Raw genomic sequence first — 19,813 nt, forward strand, 5'->3', positions numbered from 1 at the left:
TAGGAATGAGCAACTCTGATTTGGGGAGAAGGGTGATGAGCCTGGTTTTAGATGAGCCTGGTGGCACGTGCCTCTAATCCCAGCTACTTAGGAGGCTGAGGCACGAGAATCCCTTGAGCCCAGGAGGCAGAAGTTGCAGTGAGCCAAGATCATGCCACTGCACTCCAGCCTGGGTGACAAAGCAAGACTCCATCTCAAAAAAATAAGACAAAAAGCCACGTTTTCTCAGTATCTTTGAAGCAACTGCAATGCATCTGTGTCAGAGAATCCAAAGGGAGGTGGAGGTGCAGAAACAAATCTTAAGAGAAAGGTAAGAACTGGAGCTACACATCTGGAATCGCTCATGTGAAAATAATAGTTAACATGCTAGAACATAGATGAGCCTTAGGACATGATGCTAAGTGAAATAACCAGTCACAGAAGAACAAATACTGTAGCAGTCCACTTATATAAGGCACCTAGTGTAGTCCAACTCATAGAGACAACAGTCGAATGGTGGTTGCCAGGGGTTGAGAGAAGAGAGATGGATGGTGGTGGCGGCTACACAATCATCTGAATGTACTTAATACCACTGAACTGTACATTTTTAAATCATTAAGTTGGGTCAGATATGGTGGCTTACACCTGTAATCCCAGCACTTTGGGAGGCCGAGGCAGGCAGATCACTCGAGGTCAGGGGTTCAAGACCAGCCTGAACAACACGGTAAAACCCCGTCTCTACAAAAATTACAAGAAAAAATTAGCCAGGCATGGTGGCGCGTGCTTGTAATCACAGCTACTCGGGATGCTGTGGCACAAGAATTGCTTGAACCTGGGAGGCAGAGGTTGCAGTGAGCCAAGGTAGAACCACTGCACTCCGGCCTGGGAGACAGAGCAAGAGATTCTGTCCCCTCCCCCCAAAAATTGATTAAGATGATAAAAAATACATACATACATAAATGAAGGAAATATTTAGTAGCTTAACAAATAGCAGTAGCAAAATTCCCAAAAGTAGATGAGGCATCCTGGAAAAGAGGGAAGAGTGAGCCAGAAGGACTCACATTTGAGGGACAGCAGAAGGAAGCAATTCCAAAGAAAGAGAGACGGGTGGTCTGAGAGGCAGAAAGAAAGGGAGGAAAGATCTCATGTCACAAAAGCCAGGGAGGGAAAGAATTTGTGACACCATTAGCAAATTTTTGGAAAGTAGCAATGCCAGAGGGTAGAGGAAGGGGTTTATTCAACAAATTCTAGCCAAATTGTTTTGATAACAAAGGAACCTCTGAGTTAGCACTGAGTGCAAGGCTGAAACTGCAGGTGGTGACCATCTAAATTGGATTTTTTTCAAAGCTGGTCAAAGAAAATGTCATGTACAAGACTGGGCCTGCATGAAGAGCAACCCAGGCATCTAGTTCATTGTCATCATTTTCAAAGTAAAAGCCTGCCTGCATGAAGCACAATGGAAAATCCATCAAATTAGAAGTGAGTTTCTGGGCTGCGGTAGAAACTCAGCAATGTGGAATAAAAAGTACTTGCAGCATGCTGGGGGAAATGCCAACGAAGAGGGAGGTAAAAGATGGTCCCAGGGAGAAAGGACTCTGGAAAAGAAGCCTCATTGTCTGAAAACAGCTTCCTCCACTTTGAATTTGTGTGGGGAGGTGACATTTAACACATGATGAATGTATGGTCACTTTAAGGACTAACTGAGGCATGTAGGAAAAAAAAAACTCAGCTTAATATCTGGAAACAGAATTCCTCTTAGAGATGAAACTGTTTTGCCATAGCGTAATACCTTTAGAAGCCTTGAGATGGAAGGTAAGTCTGGGAGCTTAGGCTCTCAGTCGGCAAGCTAGCAAAAGAGAAAGCTCAATGGAGCTGCATCAGTGCAGGAGTAAGAGGGCAGACAAGGAGCAAGCCACTCTGCGAAGGCACCAAAGGACTTCTAAGAACGGAAGCTTCTTAGAGGCCATTGTCTGTGACGTTAATGAAAATATACACCCTTTGTCTCCTCAAACTTTAGCAAAGTAGGGAGGTTTGGGGGAAAAGGAAGGAACAAATATGACTTCCATGTTGGCACAACATCAGGGTAGCAATAAAGGCAGAGGCCCAAGGCAACTGCAGGGGAGAGGAGCTCATTGGAGAAAGGAAGCTGGAACCAGAAGTGACTGTGAAAATGACACCAAGAAGACCCCAAGCAGCATCTGGGGTATATTACCCTAAAGGACCAGCTTAGCTGTGTTGGGATTTGGGATTGATGTAATCACCCATCTCTTCAGCAAGATATCAGTCCTGTCTCCTGCAATCCCACATAACAAACTGTGAGGGTGCAGGGGTGGTCCACAGTGTCAAGTAAAGCTGAGAGATCAAAGGAAAGGGGAACTAAGGAAAGATCATCAGGGTTGCAAAACAGCAGGTCATCAACAACAGTGGAGGCGAAATTTTCAGCAGGAGTGGGGCCAGGGTTGCTATATGCAGTAGTGTGGATTATGCACTGCACAAAGTCAGCAATCTACAGGGCACGTGATATGGTTTGGCTGCGTCCCCACCCAAATCTCACCTTGAATTGTAATAATCCCCACATGTCAAGGGTGGGGCCAGGTGGAGATAATTGAATCATGGGGGCGGTTTCCCCTATACTGTTCTCGTGGCAGTGAATAAGTCTCACAAGATCTGATGGTTTTATAAGTGGGAGTTCCCCATGGATGAAGCTGGAAGCCATCATCCTCACCAAACTAACACAGGAACAGAAAACCAAACACTCCATGTTCTTACCCGTAAGTGGGAGCTGAACAATGAGAACACATGGACACAGGGAGGGGAACAACACACACCAGGGCCTGTCAGTGGGGCGAGGGGAGGGAGAGCATCAGGACAAATAGCTAATGCATGCCAGGCTTAATACCTGGGTAATGGGTTGATAGGTACAGCAAACCACCATAGCACACGTTTATCTAGGTAACAAACCTGCACATTCTGCACATGTACCCCAGAACTTAAAGTAAAATAAAACTTAAAAAAAAAAATAAATGGGAGTTCCCCTGCATACGTTCTCTTGCCTGCCGCCATGTAAGATGTTCCTTTGCTCTTCCTTTGTCTTCCACCATGATTGTGAGGCCTCCCCAGCCATGTGGAACTGTGAGTCCATTAAACCTCTTTCCTTTATAAATTACCCAGTCTCAGATATGCCTTTATTATCAGCATGAGAATGGACTAATACAGCATGGCCCCCTTCACAGATTGGAGATTTATGACAATCTTCCAGCCAAAGGGAGAAAAGCATCTTGAAGAATGAGTCCCGTTTCATAACTGGCACAAAGATGCCTTATGGGCTAGCAGCAGCCTTGATGGGGAGAGAAGGCATATGACAAGAAGGTTATAAATGAGTGGCTAGGGAAGAAATGAAAGCTGTGTATTTGCAGTTCCTATATGGGGATATGTATTATTTATCGATTGCTGCATAACAAACTACTTCAAAATTTAGCAGCTTAAAACAACAACACATCTCACCTCACAGTTCTGGGGGTCAGGAATCTAGGAGTGGTTAAACTGAGTGATTCTGGCTCAGGGTTTCTGATAACATGGCAGTCAAGCTGTTGGCTCGGGCTTCCGTCATCTCAAGACTCAACTGGGGCTGAAAAATCCACTTCTGAGCTTACTCTTTGGTAAGTTGGCAGGTGTCAGTCCTCACAGGCTATTGCACTGAGGATCTCAGTTTCTCACCACGCTACGTGGGCCTCTCTGTAAAGTTGCCCACAACATGGCAGCTTGCTTGCCCCAGTGCGAATGATCTGAGAAAGAGAAAGAAGAGGAGGGCAGGGGAGGAGAGGGAAGGGGAAGGAAAGGGAGGGAAGGGGAGGGAAGGGAAAAGGAAAGGAGTGGATACCTGATACAGAAGCCACAGTCTTTTTATAACCTAATCTCAGAAATTGTGTCCATCCCTTTTGCTGTATTCTATTTGTTAGAATACGTGTATAGCTCAAGGGGAGGGCCTTACACAAGGCCATGAACACCAGGAGGTGGAGGGCATTGGGGGCCATCCTACAGGCTGTGTCATCAGGATATATAGGCTCAACCACTCTTTCAAAAGGCAAAATCTTTCTCTCATTCTGGGGGTGAAATCATCAAGATGCAAACAAAATTCAGGAAAAGTGGGAGGTTACTATGAATCCAAATGTCAAAGTCAAGGGTAGAGACTGACATGAGATCAAAGCAAAAACATACAAAAGACTTAGCATCTGAATTAGAGAGCCATGGCTAATGCTCACTGTAAACCAGGACCAGGGTGTGCTCCAGTTAGTGACATGGTGGCTGAATTGAGCCAGATGGCAGGAAAAATGGCCATTGGCTGCCCCTCAGGGAAGGCCTCATCATTGGCTGCACAAGGCTTTAGCTTTGGTGCCCCAAGTGAGTTGCCTGCACCTACCTTATGTGGGTATGAAGAAAGCTCATGAAGGCTGAGAGGTTTCTAACCCAGAGTGAACAGCCTATGCAAAAACATAAAGAGGCATTAAAGGGAAACAAAGAACTTCACAGATGGGCACTGCTTCTGCTTTCTGTGTGGACAGAGCCTATCACGCAGAGATATGGAGGTAAGAACACACCAGATCAGCCAGTAACAGGTAGGACCTGTTCCCAGCACTTCCAACATCCAGGGCCATCCAGGCTTCCCAAAGGGCTGGGTTTGAGGCTGCAAACTATTCCTAGATATGCAAGTCCTATATGGAGAACTGCCCCCTTGGCCCTCCCTGACTCACCCACCATGAGACTCTATGCTTTCTTTTAAATTTCTGGAGCACGGAGAAGCACAGAGATGAAAAGAGTTATTTTCAACTTGGAACATATCATGATATGACAGCCAACTCTTTTGTATTCTTTTAGAGGTTCCTGGAATTTCTGAACTGCTCCTGAGTTGACTCAACTTCATAAATATTTATTGAAGGCCTGTTATCATGATGGGTCAGCTCTAGGCCATGGTTGCTTCAGATGAAGTGAGCCAGAAAGAAGGAGAACTAGGAGGTAGACCAAGCTGGTGAGCATAGTGGCAGGAAGTTGCCATGCCCGAGATTGTAGTTGGGGGCCAGTTCATCAGGGAGGTTACCATGAATCCAAATGTCAAAGTCAAGGGTAGAGACTGACATGAGATCAAAGCAAAAACATGCAAAAGATTTAGCATCTGAATTAGAGAGCCATGGCCAATGCTCATCAGTTCCAAGAGAAAAGGGAAAACACTGCCTAGCCCGGGCCAGAGGGTAGCAGCCTGGAGCCAGCATCCAGTCCTGAGAGTGGGGGTGATGTGTCACTTGTTCAGCATCCTATCCCCAACACCCAGCACACTGATAAATTTAGGTGCTCAAGCCAGGCAAGGAGAACACAGGGGTGTGGTCAGCAGTCATCCATGTAGGCTCCCATAAATCAGGATTTGGGATCCAATTTGGGATGAGCATCAGGAAACAAACAGGGAATGGTTTTCAGACACAGAGACTGGGAAAGGCAACTCAGGATCCAGAACAGATGAGTAGGGACACCTAACAGCCCGAGTTATGAATGCTGATGCCAGGGCATTCCTAGGATTAATAATAGAAGTATGATGGCTCACGCCTGTAATCCTCAACTTTGGAAGGCTGAGGTAGGAGGATCACTTGAGCCCAGGAGTCTGAGACCATCCTGGGCAACATAGCAAGACCCCTTCTCTACAAAAAATTTTTAAAAATTAGCTGGGCATGTTGGCATGTACCTGTAGTCCCAACCACTCAAGAGGCTGAGGTGGGAGGATCACTTGAGCCCACGAGTTTGAGGCTGCAGTGAGCTATGATTGTACCACTGCACTCCAGCATAGGCAACACAGCAAGACCCTGTCTCTAAAAAGATTTTAAAATAGGAAATAAATAATAAATTCCAGGATGAATCATTTTAAGCAGCCTTTCTGCTTCTGCTAGACTGAGGATCAAAGCCATGTCTGTCTTGCTTATTGGGTGTCCCCTGGCCTAGCACAGGGCCTGGTATGAAATGGGTGCTCAGTAAATGTGTGTGGAAAGAGCAACTGCTCCCAGAGAACAGTGGGAATCTGCAGGGGATGGAGCACAGGCTTAGGACTCAGAAGTCTTCAAGGCCAATGCTGAGGTAAAGATTGTTTTTTTTCTTCCAGGTTATAGGAAATCAAGGTTGGGGGGTGCCAGATTACAGATTTCAAAGAGTGACCAATATGATGCCAATGTATTCCACGTTCCTCACTCTGTCACCCTCCTGGGCCTCCTTCAGAGTAAAGCATAGGATAGAAATGACAACAGCCATTCACTTTTCTCAGGACCTAATCCCCAGATCGTGAATATACGTAGGCAGAAACCAAGCTAACAACTTCAACGTGGGACTGTAGAATATTCTCTCTACCCTTAACTAGGCAGGTGGCCTTGAGCAGATCATTTCACCTGTCTCTATCATAGCCCCAAACTATGTCCTCGTCTGTAAAATGAGAGAATTAGACTAGAAAGAAGGCTCTGGGGTTCTCTTTCTTTTCTGACATTCTGTAATTCAATTATTCTGGTTTGTTTTGAAGATAACATGGATTAGGATTGACCCACCATGAAAATATGCTGTGGTTCATCAGCTTCTAATGAGAACTGGAGTGGCCCTAAAAGAAATGCCATATACACACTCTCTCTCTCCGTTTCCATGGAGCTTGGTTCTCCTAGAAGCCTGTGTCTGTGGAGGAAGGTGAAGCATATTTCCTGTAGGCAGTTTCTCCTGTTTCCTAAGCCCTCTGGGGAAGAGGCAGCATGATATGGCTGAAAGCTCATTGGACTTGAAAATGGGGAGACCTGGATGCTCGTCCCAAACCAGGCATGTGAGCTTGGCAGTCCACCTGTCCTCTCTGGGTCTCCATTTGTTCGTATGTAATGGACAGAATACCTGCCCTGGCACCCTCCTAGACTGCTGTAAGCAAAAGGCTTCTGTAGAACATTAAGTGCTAAACCTATGTGTAATACTGCTGGGGAATCCATCAGAATGGCTGATTGGACATGAGAGAATGTGTGGGGCAAATGGCCCATACTTCAGAGGCACAAAAGACTTTTTTTTTTTTTGAGTTGGAGTTTCACTTTTGTTGCCCAGGCTGGAGTGCAATGGTGCATCTCAGCTCACTGCAACCTCCGCCTCCCGGGTTCAAGTGATTTTCCTGCCTCAGCCTCCCGAGTAGCTGGGATTACAGGCACACACCACCACGCCTGGCTAATTTTGTAGTTTAGTAGAGACAGGGTTTCACCATGTTGGTCAGGCTGGTCTCAACTCCTGACCTCAAGTGATCCACCCACCTCGGCTTCCCAAAGTGCTGGGATTACAGGCCAGCCACTGGGCCTGGCCAGGACTTCTTAAATATTTATACATTCTAGAAAATTAAGCTTCAAGCCGGCATTCGTGAGTCTGTCTGGTAGGAGGCAACATGACATGGCTGCCTAATTGGCAGAACCAGAGGAGCACGGTTCCAACCCTGCCGCTTACCAGCTGAGTGACTGTGTGCATAGCACTTTACCTCTCTGAGTCTTTGTTTTTTCATCTTTAAGATGGTTATAATATTCTTACCCTGCCTACTTCCCAAATCAGTCACCTTGATTGATCAAACATGATCAAGTGATCAACTAAGTCATGTTTCTAAAATTATGGCCCATTTTAAAGGGGCCATAGAAACTGGTCACATAAAATGGGCACTGATGCTCCTTGCAGTGTTAGGCACTTTGCAGGGGCGCTGAGCAATCAATCCTGCTGAGTCAGTGAGGCATAGCCCAGCCTGCAATGCCAGCTCTCTGAGCACACAGAATAGACAGACACCTACATGGGATGATCTGTGGGCAACTACAAGGCTTCATCTACCCCTAAAACTTTCCCTTCCTTCCCCAGCCTAGAGTTCTTCCCATTAGAATCACTCCTCCAAAGTATCTGTGAGATAGCTCAGAGCACAAAGGTCTCCAGGGTAGAGGCAAGTAGGGACTGGAATCCAACCCAAACTCTGCCCACCAAGGCCCATAACTGCCCAGAGGGAGGGCGCTTTTCTCTCATTCTTATGGGTGGCTTGCCACATGGGCCAGCATATACTTTGCCTGGAGGTTAGAAAACACGTTATCAGGGTTTAAATGAGCAAATGCTACCTGAAATGGAAGGATCACTCTTCTCTTGCCTCCCATTGAAAAATACATGGAGCTGAGCTCTGGGAAAATGAAACCCCAACCAGTGAATTTCACGTGCATGTGTGTGAGAGAGAATCAGAGTGTGTGTGTGCATGTGCGTGCATACACATGCTCGATACATGTGTATACACATTCATATGCACACGTGTCTGTGTGTAAACCTTAGTCCTCAAGGGTATGGCAAGGGAGGGTAGGATGATGGGACCCCCAGGCAGCCCAGTGTTAGCCCTGAGGTACTGGAAGCCATGAACAAATGCTGGATACGAGGCCAGGACAGCAAGGTTCTCAACTGGGTTCTGGGGGGAGAGGCACAGAGGGAGGTTTGACCAATACAAACTTGTTTGACCTCATAATCCTGTTGAAGCTGAGCCTTCCAGCTTAGGCTATAGGGGAATAACTACAGCCTGCGATACTACATGAGGAGTCACAAGACTCCACCCTCTGACCTTTGAGATGAGCCCTCAGCCATCCCTCCAAGCACCTGCTGGAGCACTTTCTGCCCCTCTTCTTTTTGGCAACATGGTCAGAATCCTGACCGCTGCCAGCTGGCTTCGGTCAACATGAAGGAGCAGCCACAGCCATTTCAAGGTCACTTGTGGAATTGCGTCCACGTGGACTCCGGTGACTCCTGTGCTCTTCCTTTTACTCCGAATGAGACACTTCATTGTTTGAGGTCTGAGAATTCTCCAGGGAGTTCTGGGAACTGGATGCTGGGCAAGACAATAAATAGAGATGGCGGAACATGCCATTCGTGGGAAGGGAAAGAGATTTGCCTTCAGGGAGGGCAACACAATAGCCCAGGGGTGTAGCTTCCCATAAACCTTGGCAGCGTGGCCCACAGCACCAAGGACACGGTCACCTACAGCAAGAGGGTGGGGTCTGTAGCCAAGCAGCTCCCCATGGGCAGGAGGAAAAGGAAGAAGTCATATGTAGAGCAAACTACACACCCTCCCTGAACCTCCTATTTTGGGAAATGAGGAATAAAATGCTACTTGTTATAGGCCTTGTTGGTCTGGATGAAAGCCTTCAAAAGCCTCATACGTAAATGCTTCAAAGCATTTTCAAATAGTTGCTTCAATTTTAATGTAAAATTGATCAGAAGGCCAAAGAGTCACCTGTTTCCAAGAATGTCTATCATGTTATCACAATAGTGCAGGTGATTCTCTGACCCTCACTGACAGCCCATTCACATTCCCCATGCTCTTGTCTATGCTTTTTGATGTGTCTGACCATTCATAGGCAGTGGGAAAAAGAAAAGAGAAAAACAGTCACACTCTTGCAGTCATTTCAGTGGGTGATTCTCTGTCTTGCTCATCAGGGTTCCCCTTGGTGCTCTCATAACAGATCACAGTGACAAACTCCCCTGATATCTGTGGCACCCGGTGCAAGAGTACAAATGGAGGCCCTCAGACATAGGTCTAATATTTTAAAATTATATGTCAAGCTAACAAACTTAAATATGTTCTACTAGCCTATCTTGAAAATATACATGCACAATGACTTAGAAGGCTGCTTTCAAATTTAGAATTCTCACTCTTCCAGAGAATGCCAGCTCCCAGATGCTTAGTCCTGGACTCATGGACTTATCCTCCCATCTCCCACTCTACTTGCCCCCAGCCCAACCCACAGGCCCAAGCTCCATCCACATGCCCCACTCACAGCCACCCCTTTGCTATTTCTTAAGCCTAGGGGTGCACAGACTAGCCATACTGGCTGTGACCTCAGTCTTTGGGAGGATAGATCTGGGAAAGAAGCCCGGAAAAGTTTGGAACAGGCTAGGAGCCTTTCAGGTGGGGAATTCCAGGAATTATTATATTTGATCTTAAAGGGAGAGGCCTGGGTCGGGGGAAATGAGCATAAGTTGGAAGAGGAAAGTGCAAACCGAAGGAAGGGCTGGCTGTGGTGGTACACACCTGTAGTCCTAGCTACTCCAGAGGCTGAGGCGGGAAGATCACTTGAGCCCAGGAGTTCAAGACTGCAGAGAATATCCAGAGAATGTTTTAGAAGGGAGCCATGGGCTTCACAGAGTCACGTCTCCTTGGCCCTGTAGACTCCTTCCCCACAGGGAGAGGCATGGCTAGAAGAGGGTCAGGATGGAGTCCTCTAAAGGAGCAGCCACAGCCATTTCAAGGTCACTTGAAGATCCTGTGAGCCCAAGAGTTCAAGACTGCAGTGAGCTATGATCGCACCACTGCACTCCAGCCTGGGTGCCAGAACAAGACCCTGTCTCTAACAACAACCCACCTCACCCCCCGAAAAAAAAGAAGGGATGAAGGTCAATCCCACTATTCGTGACTATTAAGATTGAGGCAGGGCCAGTCATGGTGGCTCGCGCCTGTAATCCCAGCACTTTGGGAGGCCGAGGCATGCCGATGGCTTGAGCCCAGGAGTTCAAGACCAGCCTGGGCAACATGACAAAACCCCATCTCTACCTTAAATATATATATATACAAAAGTTAGCCAGGTATACTGGTATGCACCTGTGGTCCCAGCTACTCAGGAGGCTGAGGTGGAAAAATCACTTAGCCTGGGAGCTCAAGGCTAAGTAGTGAACCTGCAGTGAGAAGTGATCATGCCACTGTGCTCCAGCCTGGGCAACAGAGTGAGACCCTGTCTCAAAAAAAAAAAAAAAAAAAAGATTGAAGCAGGGCAGCAGGTGTTTGGGAAAAAGGTTTCTCACCCCATGTGGTTAGCTGGCCCTCCTAGGACCATGGCTTACTATTTGACCTTGGGCAAGTTTCTTAATTCTCCAGGCCTCAGTTTTCTCAGCATTTTCCTTAAATGAGCCTTCTGAAGACTAAAAGAGATAACACCTGTTAAATGCCTGGCCCAGAGGAAGCAGTTGGTAATTGGTAGGTATTAGTATTATTTTCCTCTCCAGTGGGAGAGCAGGAAACAGAATGGCCAGGCTGGAGCCAGCTCAGCCCTGGTGTCTTCCCTAGAGGACAACATGCTGCTCCCCAGCCCTGAGCACGCCAGTCTTCAGGTCCTGCCAGGTACAGGACAGCTTGTAGTCCCACACGGCAGTCGGTCGGCCAACCGCACCCCACAAGCCTCATCCAATATTGATGCAGTGTCTAATGTCTCCTGAACACAATACACTGCTTCTCAAACAAGCTCCTGCCTTTCTATGACCCAGAGGAGGCAGAGGACTCTTGACATCCCTTAAACAGCTACACACCTGGTAAATTTTGCCCCTAATCACAGGCAAATGTTATGCGAACCATTTCTTTCCAGGCCGGATGAATGGTCCCACTGCCTGCTTTCAGGGTTTTCCTCACTACTCTGGCTCTTCCAAGAAAGGAAAGAAAGGAGATGAAAACCACAGTTGGAAGCACCTCCTCTGTGCCAGGCACAGGACAAAAGGCTGTGCATGCATAATCTAATCCCAACAGGAATCCTTCCAAGTGGGTGCTATGGGCTACCATTTATAGATGGGACTGAGATGTAAGGGGGTTGATTAGGTCACTCAAGCAAGATCACACCATTTGGATGGGGCGAAGTTAAACTTTAGATTCCGCATCTCAGACTGGTGTGCCCTGCTGACGCTACTCAGGAAATGAGACTGAAGTGTGTGGGAAATCCCCACGCCCCAGCAAGCAGGCCTGTGGCCAGGACCACTGCCTGGGGTCAGGCTCACTTAGCTGCCCTGCACCACTTTCCTGGAAGGTTTCATCATTGAAATTAAGGAATAATTTCTTATAGTTTGCCACAGAGTTAAGCCAAGTCAAAACTTTTAAGTTCTACTGGCCCCTGCCAAGCGATTGCAGATCAGATCTCCTCTCCTGCCCCCAAGGAGCTGCCTTTGTTTCCTTCTTTGTCCTGTCACAGCCCTCCCCCAAAGCATTAGATTCAGAAAGGCCTGGGCACTTGGGGCTGGGGGTGGCACAGGGGAATGAAACACTTGGAGAGGAAAAAAAAAAACAACAACCCTGACTAATACAAAAGAAATTTCCCAACCACATATGCACCATATAATTACCTACATACATACACATACATAATGAAGGAGATCTTAAAGCATGCATTTAGTAAGGCTTTACAGAATAAATGTATTTGAGGGCAGTCTTCCAGTAAGTGAACATTAATCAACAGAGAACAAGAAAGATAAATATTCTACCCAGCAAGCCAAGGGATAATAATACCCCTCATAGGGCCAGAGAAATTGAAGGGAGAAGATAATGAGTTGTTTTCTTTATGCTCAAATTAAAGGTGGGACAACTAAATGTATTCCTTCTTCAGCACCTACTATGTGCCTGAACCAAAACAAGGCAAAACAGCCAAAAACAAAGCAAGACACTGTGGGTACATAGCAGGTCTAGGACCAGAGGAGGCCAAGGGGACAGAAGATGGATGGGGATGTCGGGGGGCCTCCCCCGTGTCCATTCCTGGTAAACCCAGCTTCCTGTGCAGCTCAGGCCTTGGAAGAAGCCAGCCCTGCGCCCCCCACCTACTCTGGGGCAGGGTCTCACCCCCTGACTATACGTTTGGTTGTGAGGGTCAAGACACATGAGCTGGTCAGAGATCACTTGGCAAGAGCCAAGAGAGCTTAGAGAGTTTTGACTTGTGACAAACACTAAAGGAAAGCAGTGCAGTAAATGGGCCTGACCCCAGGCAGAGGCCCTGAGCACAGACCCATTGTGGGGACTTCCATGTTCCTCGGTCCAAGGGCCACATCCTGACCCAGCTCAGGACCATGGAACAGCAGGTGAGGTGTGCCGGGTACCTCGGGGAAAGCTTCCCTTGCTCTTCTGGAACCATTCCCCAAAACCCTGTCTATCTCTCCTGAGTCTGGGCAGGTGTGTATGTGAAGCCAAGAGCAGTTGAAGCCATGTTACCACCCTGAGGGAAATCAGACTCAAGATGAAGCAGGGCCCACAGAAGGTGGAACAGAGAGACAGAGATTTTGAAAAAGGAGCTGTCATCTATGCCAATCTTCCTGAGAAACTGATGAGACAGAAATGAAACAGGGTCCCCAATTCCCGTATTAGATGGTGGAGGATGACCAAAACCCTGAGTAGCATCAGGGTCCTTAAAGGATGCTGTTCCCAGATGAGGGGCCCCCAAAGGAGGGCAAACTGGGCTGCTTGTCAATGGGGTCCGAGGACCAGAGCGGCCTTGGTCACTGAGGAGGTCCCATTGTGAAACAGCTAAGAGCTTCGGCATCCGCGGCCTGGGCTTGAGTCCTGGCTCTGCCCCTAGCTCGTGTCATCTTAGCAAATGACTTAACTTCAGAGAGCCTCTGTTTCCTAAACTGACCAATGGAGACAAATACACCTACCCCAAAATACGGCTGTACGGATTCAACGAGGTGAAGTGCATGCAAGGGCTTGGCACACGGTGAGTGTCCCATGAGCGTTAGTTGTGCTGCTTGAGGCCCAGTGTTCCAGGGGGGACGCCATAACCAAGTGTCCTCAAGAGCCGTTGGCTCCCAGGGAGAGAGGTGGACATGAGGTCACACATGAAGAGCTCTTGGCAGGGTGCCTGCTCACAGCAAGCGCTCAGCAAACGGCAGCTGCTGGAATGATTACCACTATTTTAAGCCTTCTCTACTCAGAAGCTAGATCACTGTTTGGACCCACATGGGCTCCTCCTCGGTAGGCTTAGGCCAGGCGGAGCACACCAGGCCCTCGGCATCATGCCCTTTGGCCCCCAGAGCCCCGTGTCTCCCTACCTCTGCACAGCTCCAGACATTAGCCTCCAACTCCAGGCCCCGGAGCCTGGAGAGAAACCTGCTTCCCAACATTACTCCCACATTCCTGCTGCAAGAATGCCTTTATATGGCACAGTCCTGTGGGCTGAGATTTAATTAACCCTTTACATGCCTTTGCAAAACACCACACCAGAGAACAATTCTTCCTCTGTCCTTGGAAGGTACTGATGCCAAGAGAATGTTTTCATTTGGTTATTATCTCTTGTCTCCTCTTGAGGAGATGCCGTCGTGCCGGTTATCCAAGGCAAGGACCTGTGTGAGCACCTCAGAAGCAGAACTCAGTGATTCTGGAAGTAGAAGAGAGACTTTGTTTGGGTTTGAGGTCGCCAAAAACGTTGCGGGCCTACTATGTACAAAGCATGGTGCGGGATGTACAAAGCTGAAAAACATGCAATTCTTGACTTCAGGATAGTCCCTAAGACAAGAGAGTAATGAGTCTACAGCCATACCGCCCTGAATGCGCCTTATCTAGGAAGCTAAGCAGAGTCAGGCCTAGTTAGTACTTGGAAAAGAGACAAAAGAGTAAATAAATTGTGGTGAATAAAACAGGAGAAATAATCTGAAAGGAAGGTAGAACCCTAGACCATTAAGCGCTTGTTAAAAAAAAAAATAATAGTAATAATGATAACACCACCAGCAAAAAACAAAAACCCCTAGTTTTGGAGCAGAGGCCTGGTTGGAAAGAGAAGAGCCAGGTGCAGATATTTGATCCTCTCCACTCTCCCACAAAGAGCTCGGCACAGGATAAGGTCAAACACAAGAAGATCACCGCTTATCAGTGACACATCTGCTAAGCTGCAGTCAGCGCCCGTCTGCCTGCCTGCTACCCTCTGTAACCCGGCCCGCCTTATCAGGAGCTCGGTCTATTTCCGCAAGTGAGGGGCAGCACAGCAAGAAGACCGGGATGGTGGCTCCAGTATACATCAGGAAGATGGGGCACTCAGCAACAGCCCTCTAGGAGATCTCCATGGTGCCAGGGGCTTTCTACTCAGGCCACACTAGATAGGGCTTCCACGCTGAACTCTCCAAAAGCCAGTTTGAGTCATGTCAGTATCAGTCTGTCCCCAACCCTCAACCATCAGTGGCTGCTTCCCTGTGCCAGACTCCTATTTAAACTCCTCAGCCCAGCATCTGGTGCCCTTCACCATCTGACTCCAGTTTGCTCTTCCAGCCTCATCCCCAGTACTCGTGCTGGTTCCTTCACCTAGAACACCTTGCCCGCCTCACCCGGGCTCCACTGTTGGAGTCCTGCCCACTCTTTCAGATCTGCCTCAGATACCTTTTCCCTCAGAGAGACTTCCCTGATCCACCCAGAACCCCTTCTTCCTCCCTGCCCCACCCATTTCCTGAAATGACCTCGATCTCCTCTGACTTCTCCTGCATTTTAGACCTGGCTGGTATCACTTGTCACATCCCACCTAGGATTGGGTCTCTCTTATTCCATTTACTTGGAAGCTCCCTGAGGTGAGACTCTCTATTGTACTGTTCTCCATCTCCCATCTCCGGAGGTTCACATGCCAAAGGTTCTCTCCCTTAAAGGATGGACTCGCTGCCGTAGCTTCCACCATTTTGTCAAAGTGGTGGACTCCAAAACTCAAGTTCCTATCTCCAGACAGCTCTCTGAGCATTGGTGTTTGTACATCCAGTTAGCATCTTGGAATCAGCGTGCTATAGCCCCCATAATACCTGAACTTCCTTTACTAACATAAATCCAAAAGTGAAGTCTTCCTCCTCTTCCTTGACTTCCCTATTCCTGCCATGGTGTAGAATGTACAAAGCTGGGAAACATGCAACTCTTGACTTCAAGGTAGTCCCTTGAAGTCACTGCCCAGTGCAGCGGGGCTATTGAAACCCCATCCTGGCCCCCAAATGCTCACAGCCACTCATGGAATGGGCATTCTCAGAAAATTCATTCTTGAATGCCCTTTCACCCTACCCATGCCTGTCTCCCCTGTAGCCTTCCCCTGTAACCCATCCGTCTTTTTCAGGCCACTCCCTCCTGCATCATGCATGGAAGGACCCTGATATAGTTTGGATATTTGTCTCCGCCGAAATCTCATGTTGAATTGTAATCCCCAATGCGGGAGGCGGGGCCTGGTGGGAGGTGTTTGAATCCTGGGGGCAGATCCCTCATAGCCTGGTGCTGTCTTTGTGATAGTGAGTTCTTGCAAGACCTGGTCATTTATAAGCATATGGCACTTCCCTCTATTCTCTCTCTCTTGCCCGTGCTTTTGCCATGTGACACGCCTGCTCCCCCTTTGCCTTCTTCCATGGCTGTAAGTTTCCTGAGGCCTCCCTAGAAGCCAAGCAGATGCTAGCACCAGGCTTCCTGTAAAGCCTGCAGAAACATGAGCCAATTAAACCTCTTTTCTTTATAAATTACCCAGTCACAGGTATTTCTTTATAGCAATGCAAGAACGGCCCAATACAGACCCTCTTCCCTAGCTTTCAACTTTCTTGCTGTTTTCCAGCCTCAGACTTGAGTTTCCTCCTTTCCCAGGCCTGGCTGTGCCTGAGAATGAAGTAAAAGACCCCCTTTCAGTGGGGTCTTTGTCCTCACTCTGTTCCCTGCTCTTGGTGACCCTAACTAGCTCAGGCACGTCTCCAGAAGATGCCTTCAGTTGTCCAGGCTGAAAAGCCCAGAATCAGCTTTAACTCCTCTCTCTCCTTCAGTGCCCAGGCCCATTTACTCCTCTGGTATAATGACTTTGGAATCTCCCCCTTGGGTCCTATCACTCTTCTTTGTCAAGACCCTGAAACATGCATCAGTACCAATTACTCCTTCCCTCCATGGGCTCCCCTGAGTGAGGTCCTCCTTCCATTCTAGTCCTAAGCACTTGGCTTATGAGTCTGTGTCTCCCTCCATACTGTGAGGATGAAGAAGGGACTAATCAATCCTGTGTCCCCAGTGTCAACAAAGGTCTTTTTTTTTTTTTTTTTGAGACGGAGTCTTGCTCTGTTGCCCAGGCTGGAGTGCAGTGGCACAATCTTGGCACATTGCAACCTCTGCCTTTGGGTTCAAGCAATCCTTCTGCCTCAGCCTCCCGAGTAGCTAGGATTACAAGCGCCGGCCACCACACCCCGCTAATTTTTGTATTTTTAGTAGAGACGGGGTTTCACCATATTGGTCAGGCAGGTCTCGAACTCCTGACCTCAGGTGATCCTCCTGCCTCAGTCTCCCAAAGCTCTGGGATTACAGGAGTGAGCCACCGCCCTGGCCTACAAAGGTCTTTTTTATAGTAGGTGCTCAATAAATGAAGACATATTGGATGAGTGCCCGCCTGCCATGTGCAAAATCCAGTGTTAAGTGCTAGGGGAACCCAGAAGCCCTGCTGCCTGGAAACCATTAGATATGGACTTACAGGATGGATAATGTAAGAACAAAGTGCAGACTGGTGCTGCAGGGCTTCTGAGAAAGAGAAGGCGACCCAACAGCACACAGTAAAACAAATATACGGGGAGGAGCAGGGAAGTAGAGGGGAGAGCTCAAAAGGGAGAAATGGTGCATGGCTAATAAGAGACAATGAATAGACCGGTTTGGGGAGGCCAGGTTGGAGAAATGGGCGGAGTCCAATTGCAAGGGCTGATGAATACCAGGGTAATGGCAATGCCTTTAGCTAACTTTCATTGAGTACCTGCTGGATACCAAACACTAATTTATGTTTTGTTCATGGATTATCTCATGTATTCCTTATAGTCCTATGAGGCAATTACTGTGATTACACAGTCTGGGTATGATTATACCCACTTTGAGGAAAGAGGATGAGGAAACTAAAGCATGGAAAGGTTCTCCCACTCACCCAGGCCCACACAGTGGTTAAGTGGTAGAGAAGGGAAGGGTTCAAACCAATGACAACTTGGTGCAAGAGCCTACACTCTCAGCCACTACCCTCTCCAGTCACTCAGGTTAAGCCTTGGTCTTTATTCTGAAGGCAGCAAGGAGATATGGAAAATGGGGAGGAGGAAGAGGTGAGCAAGAAGAGTGACACACACCACTGGAGGTTCTGGAGTCTTCATCTACCAACTCTCTGTAGGGCACATTTGGAAAGGAAAAGGGAAAACTGAAGTCTAGGGGGTTAATTTAGAGGAAAGGGACAAAACAGTGCTATAGAAAAGCCCTGGACTTCAAAGGGAAACCTGAGTTTGAGCTCCATATCAGGACTTCATGGGCTACTCAGCCCTTTCTTAGGGACTCTGTTTTCCCATCTGTAAATGGAGAGAAGAACTGGGATCCCTGCCAGCTCTCAGGTTCTGTGGTTTGATGGGGATTTTGTAATGTGAGGAGATGGCCACCTCAATTAATCCACGGCATAGAATCAGCTAAACCCCGTCTCCAGCCTCACACCCCTTATGGAGCCTTCCTGATTACAGCCTCCAACTCCCGTCCCCGTGTCTGCACCACATGTTGGTGACTTGGCGTATACTGTCTCATGCCATTATGGGTCTTTGAAGATTATGTCCTCAGCTAAACCCACAGCCCCTGGAGGGCCAGGGGTGGTTTTGTCTTGTGTTTCTCCATGGGTTTTTCTCTCGGCATTTAGTTCTGTGCATATTATACAACAGACCTTCACTAAAGTCATATTGGGTTTTAAATAACCCACAGGGTGTACAGGTCAGAAGTTACCCTGCCCCGGGCCAGGTGCAGTGACTCATGCCTGTTATCCCAGCATTCTGGGAGGCCAAGGAGGGTGGATCACCTGAGGTCAAGAGTTCAAGACCAGCCTGGCCAACATGGTAAAATCCCATCTCTAATAAACATACAAAAAAATTAGCTGGGCATGGTGGCACATGCCTGTAATCCTAGCTACTCAGGAGGCTGAGGTGGGAGAATAAATTGAACCCAGGAAGCAGAGGTTGCGGTGAGCTGAGATCGTGCTAGTGCACTCCCACTTGGGTAACAGAGCAAGACCCTGTCTCAAAAGAAAAAAAAAAAAAAAGAAGACGGTCCCCTGCCTGTGTTTTTAGGCCTGTCATTTACATCTGTGCCAGACAACCAGGACATATCCTGTGACAGAGTTGTAAACTGCAGAGGCTTTGTACCCTTGTCACAGTCAACAGGCATCTTCCCTGGATTCAAGGCCAACAATGCTGCTTCTTGGATGTAATGTTTAATCTCATCTATAAAATAACACTAGCAATCCCTACCTCTGAGTGTGGTTGTGGGGACTGAATGATGTTATATGTGTTTATGTATTTTGCATCCTATAAAATACTACATCAATATAAGGTCATGTAAATTCTCCAAGGCACTGAGCTGTATTTGCCCATTTTCACAGTGCTATAAAGAACTGCCCAGGACTGGGTAATTTATAAAGAAAACAAGTTTAATTGACTCACAGTTCTACATGGCTGGGAAGGCCTCAGGAAACTTACAATCATGGAGGAAGGTGCAGGGAAAGCAAGACACGTCTTACATGGTGGCAGAACAGAGAGAGAGAGCAAAGAGGGAAGTGCTGCCTTTAAACCAGCAGAGCTCAAAAGAACTCACTCACTATCATGAGAACAGCATGGAGAAAACCGCCCCCATGATCCAATCACTTCCCACCAGGTCCCTCCCTCAACAAGTGGGGATTTCAATTCAAGATGAGATTTGGGTAGGAACACAGAACTAAACCATATCATGAGCCAAGTTCAAGTTCTGACTCCAAATTGCATGGCTTTGAACTAGCCATTTAATCTCTAGTCTCTTCTACTGCATATGGATCATACCCCTTTAAAATTGTGCTCAAATTTTACATGCCCATTCCCACCCCTCCCCTACTTTCAGGCTCCAGGGATTAATTTCTTTCTCAGCCCTCACAGCCTGGCTTAAAGCCCTGATGCCCGCTCAAGTCAGAATTGATTCTCTCTCCTTCTGGGCCATCATTTTGGATGATCTCTACCTCTTCTCCAAATAGCTTCATCCTGATTATATAGCCATCTTCCAGGGTCAGCAAACTTTCTCTAT

At 47.7% G+C, this 19,813-nt stretch overlaps 2 long non-coding RNA genes and 1 pseudogene across 2 annotated transcripts, besides 3 other annotated features; 1 reads left to right on the forward strand and 2 right to left on the reverse strand.

The window, feature by feature from the left end:
- Window positions 1-3,138: 3,138 nt before the first annotated feature.
- LOC124907746 (uncharacterized) lies at window positions 3,139-5,575 on the reverse strand. The gene is made up of 2 exons (XR_007086257.1): window positions 3,484-5,575; window positions 3,139-3,316 (listed from the first exon to the last, which is right to left on the reverse strand). It is a non-coding gene; the product is annotated as an uncharacterized LOC124907746 (long non-coding RNA).
- A 1,789-nt stretch (window positions 5,576-7,364) lies between these two features.
- On the reverse strand, window positions 7,365-13,899 carry LOC105374384 (uncharacterized). The gene is made up of 3 exons (XR_939878.3): window positions 13,435-13,899; window positions 10,067-10,298; window positions 7,365-8,863 (listed from the first exon to the last, which is right to left on the reverse strand). It is a non-coding gene; the product is annotated as an uncharacterized LOC105374384 (long non-coding RNA).
- Window positions 11,658-11,747: an enhancer, noted in NCBI's record as "active region_15523". NCBI's record gives its function as "activates an Ori minimal core promoter by ATAC-STARR-seq in GM12878 lymphoblastoid cells {active_cell/tissue: GM12878}" and the evidence as "EXISTENCE:reporter gene assay evidence [ECO:0000049][PMID:35858748]".
- Window positions 13,071-13,277: a silencer, noted in NCBI's record as "fragment chr2:28905611-28905817 (GRCh37/hg19 assembly coordinates)". NCBI's record gives its function as "represses an EF-1alpha promoter that drives an FKBP-Casp9 reporter gene in an ReSE screen in HepG2 liver carcinoma cells {active_cell/tissue: HepG2}" and the evidence as "EXISTENCE:reporter gene assay evidence [ECO:0000049][PMID:32094911]".
- RNA5SP89 (RNA, 5S ribosomal pseudogene 89) lies at window positions 14,302-14,409 on the forward strand (annotated as a pseudogene).
- Window positions 14,749-15,043: a silencer, noted in NCBI's record as "tiled region #11701; HepG2 Repressive DNase matched - State 21:Repr, and K562 Repressive non-DNase unmatched - State 8:EnhW". NCBI's record gives its function as "represses a minimal TATA promoter and a strong SV40 promoter by Sharpr-MPRA in HepG2 and K562 cells {active_cell/tissue: HepG2 | K562}" and the evidence as "EXISTENCE:reporter gene assay evidence [ECO:0000049][PMID:27701403]".

The sequence above is a fragment of the Homo sapiens genome, chromosome 2 (genome assembly GCF_000001405.40).
Source record: "Homo sapiens chromosome 2, GRCh38.p14 Primary Assembly".
Taxonomy (NCBI): domain Eukaryota; kingdom Metazoa; phylum Chordata; class Mammalia; order Primates; family Hominidae; genus Homo; species Homo sapiens.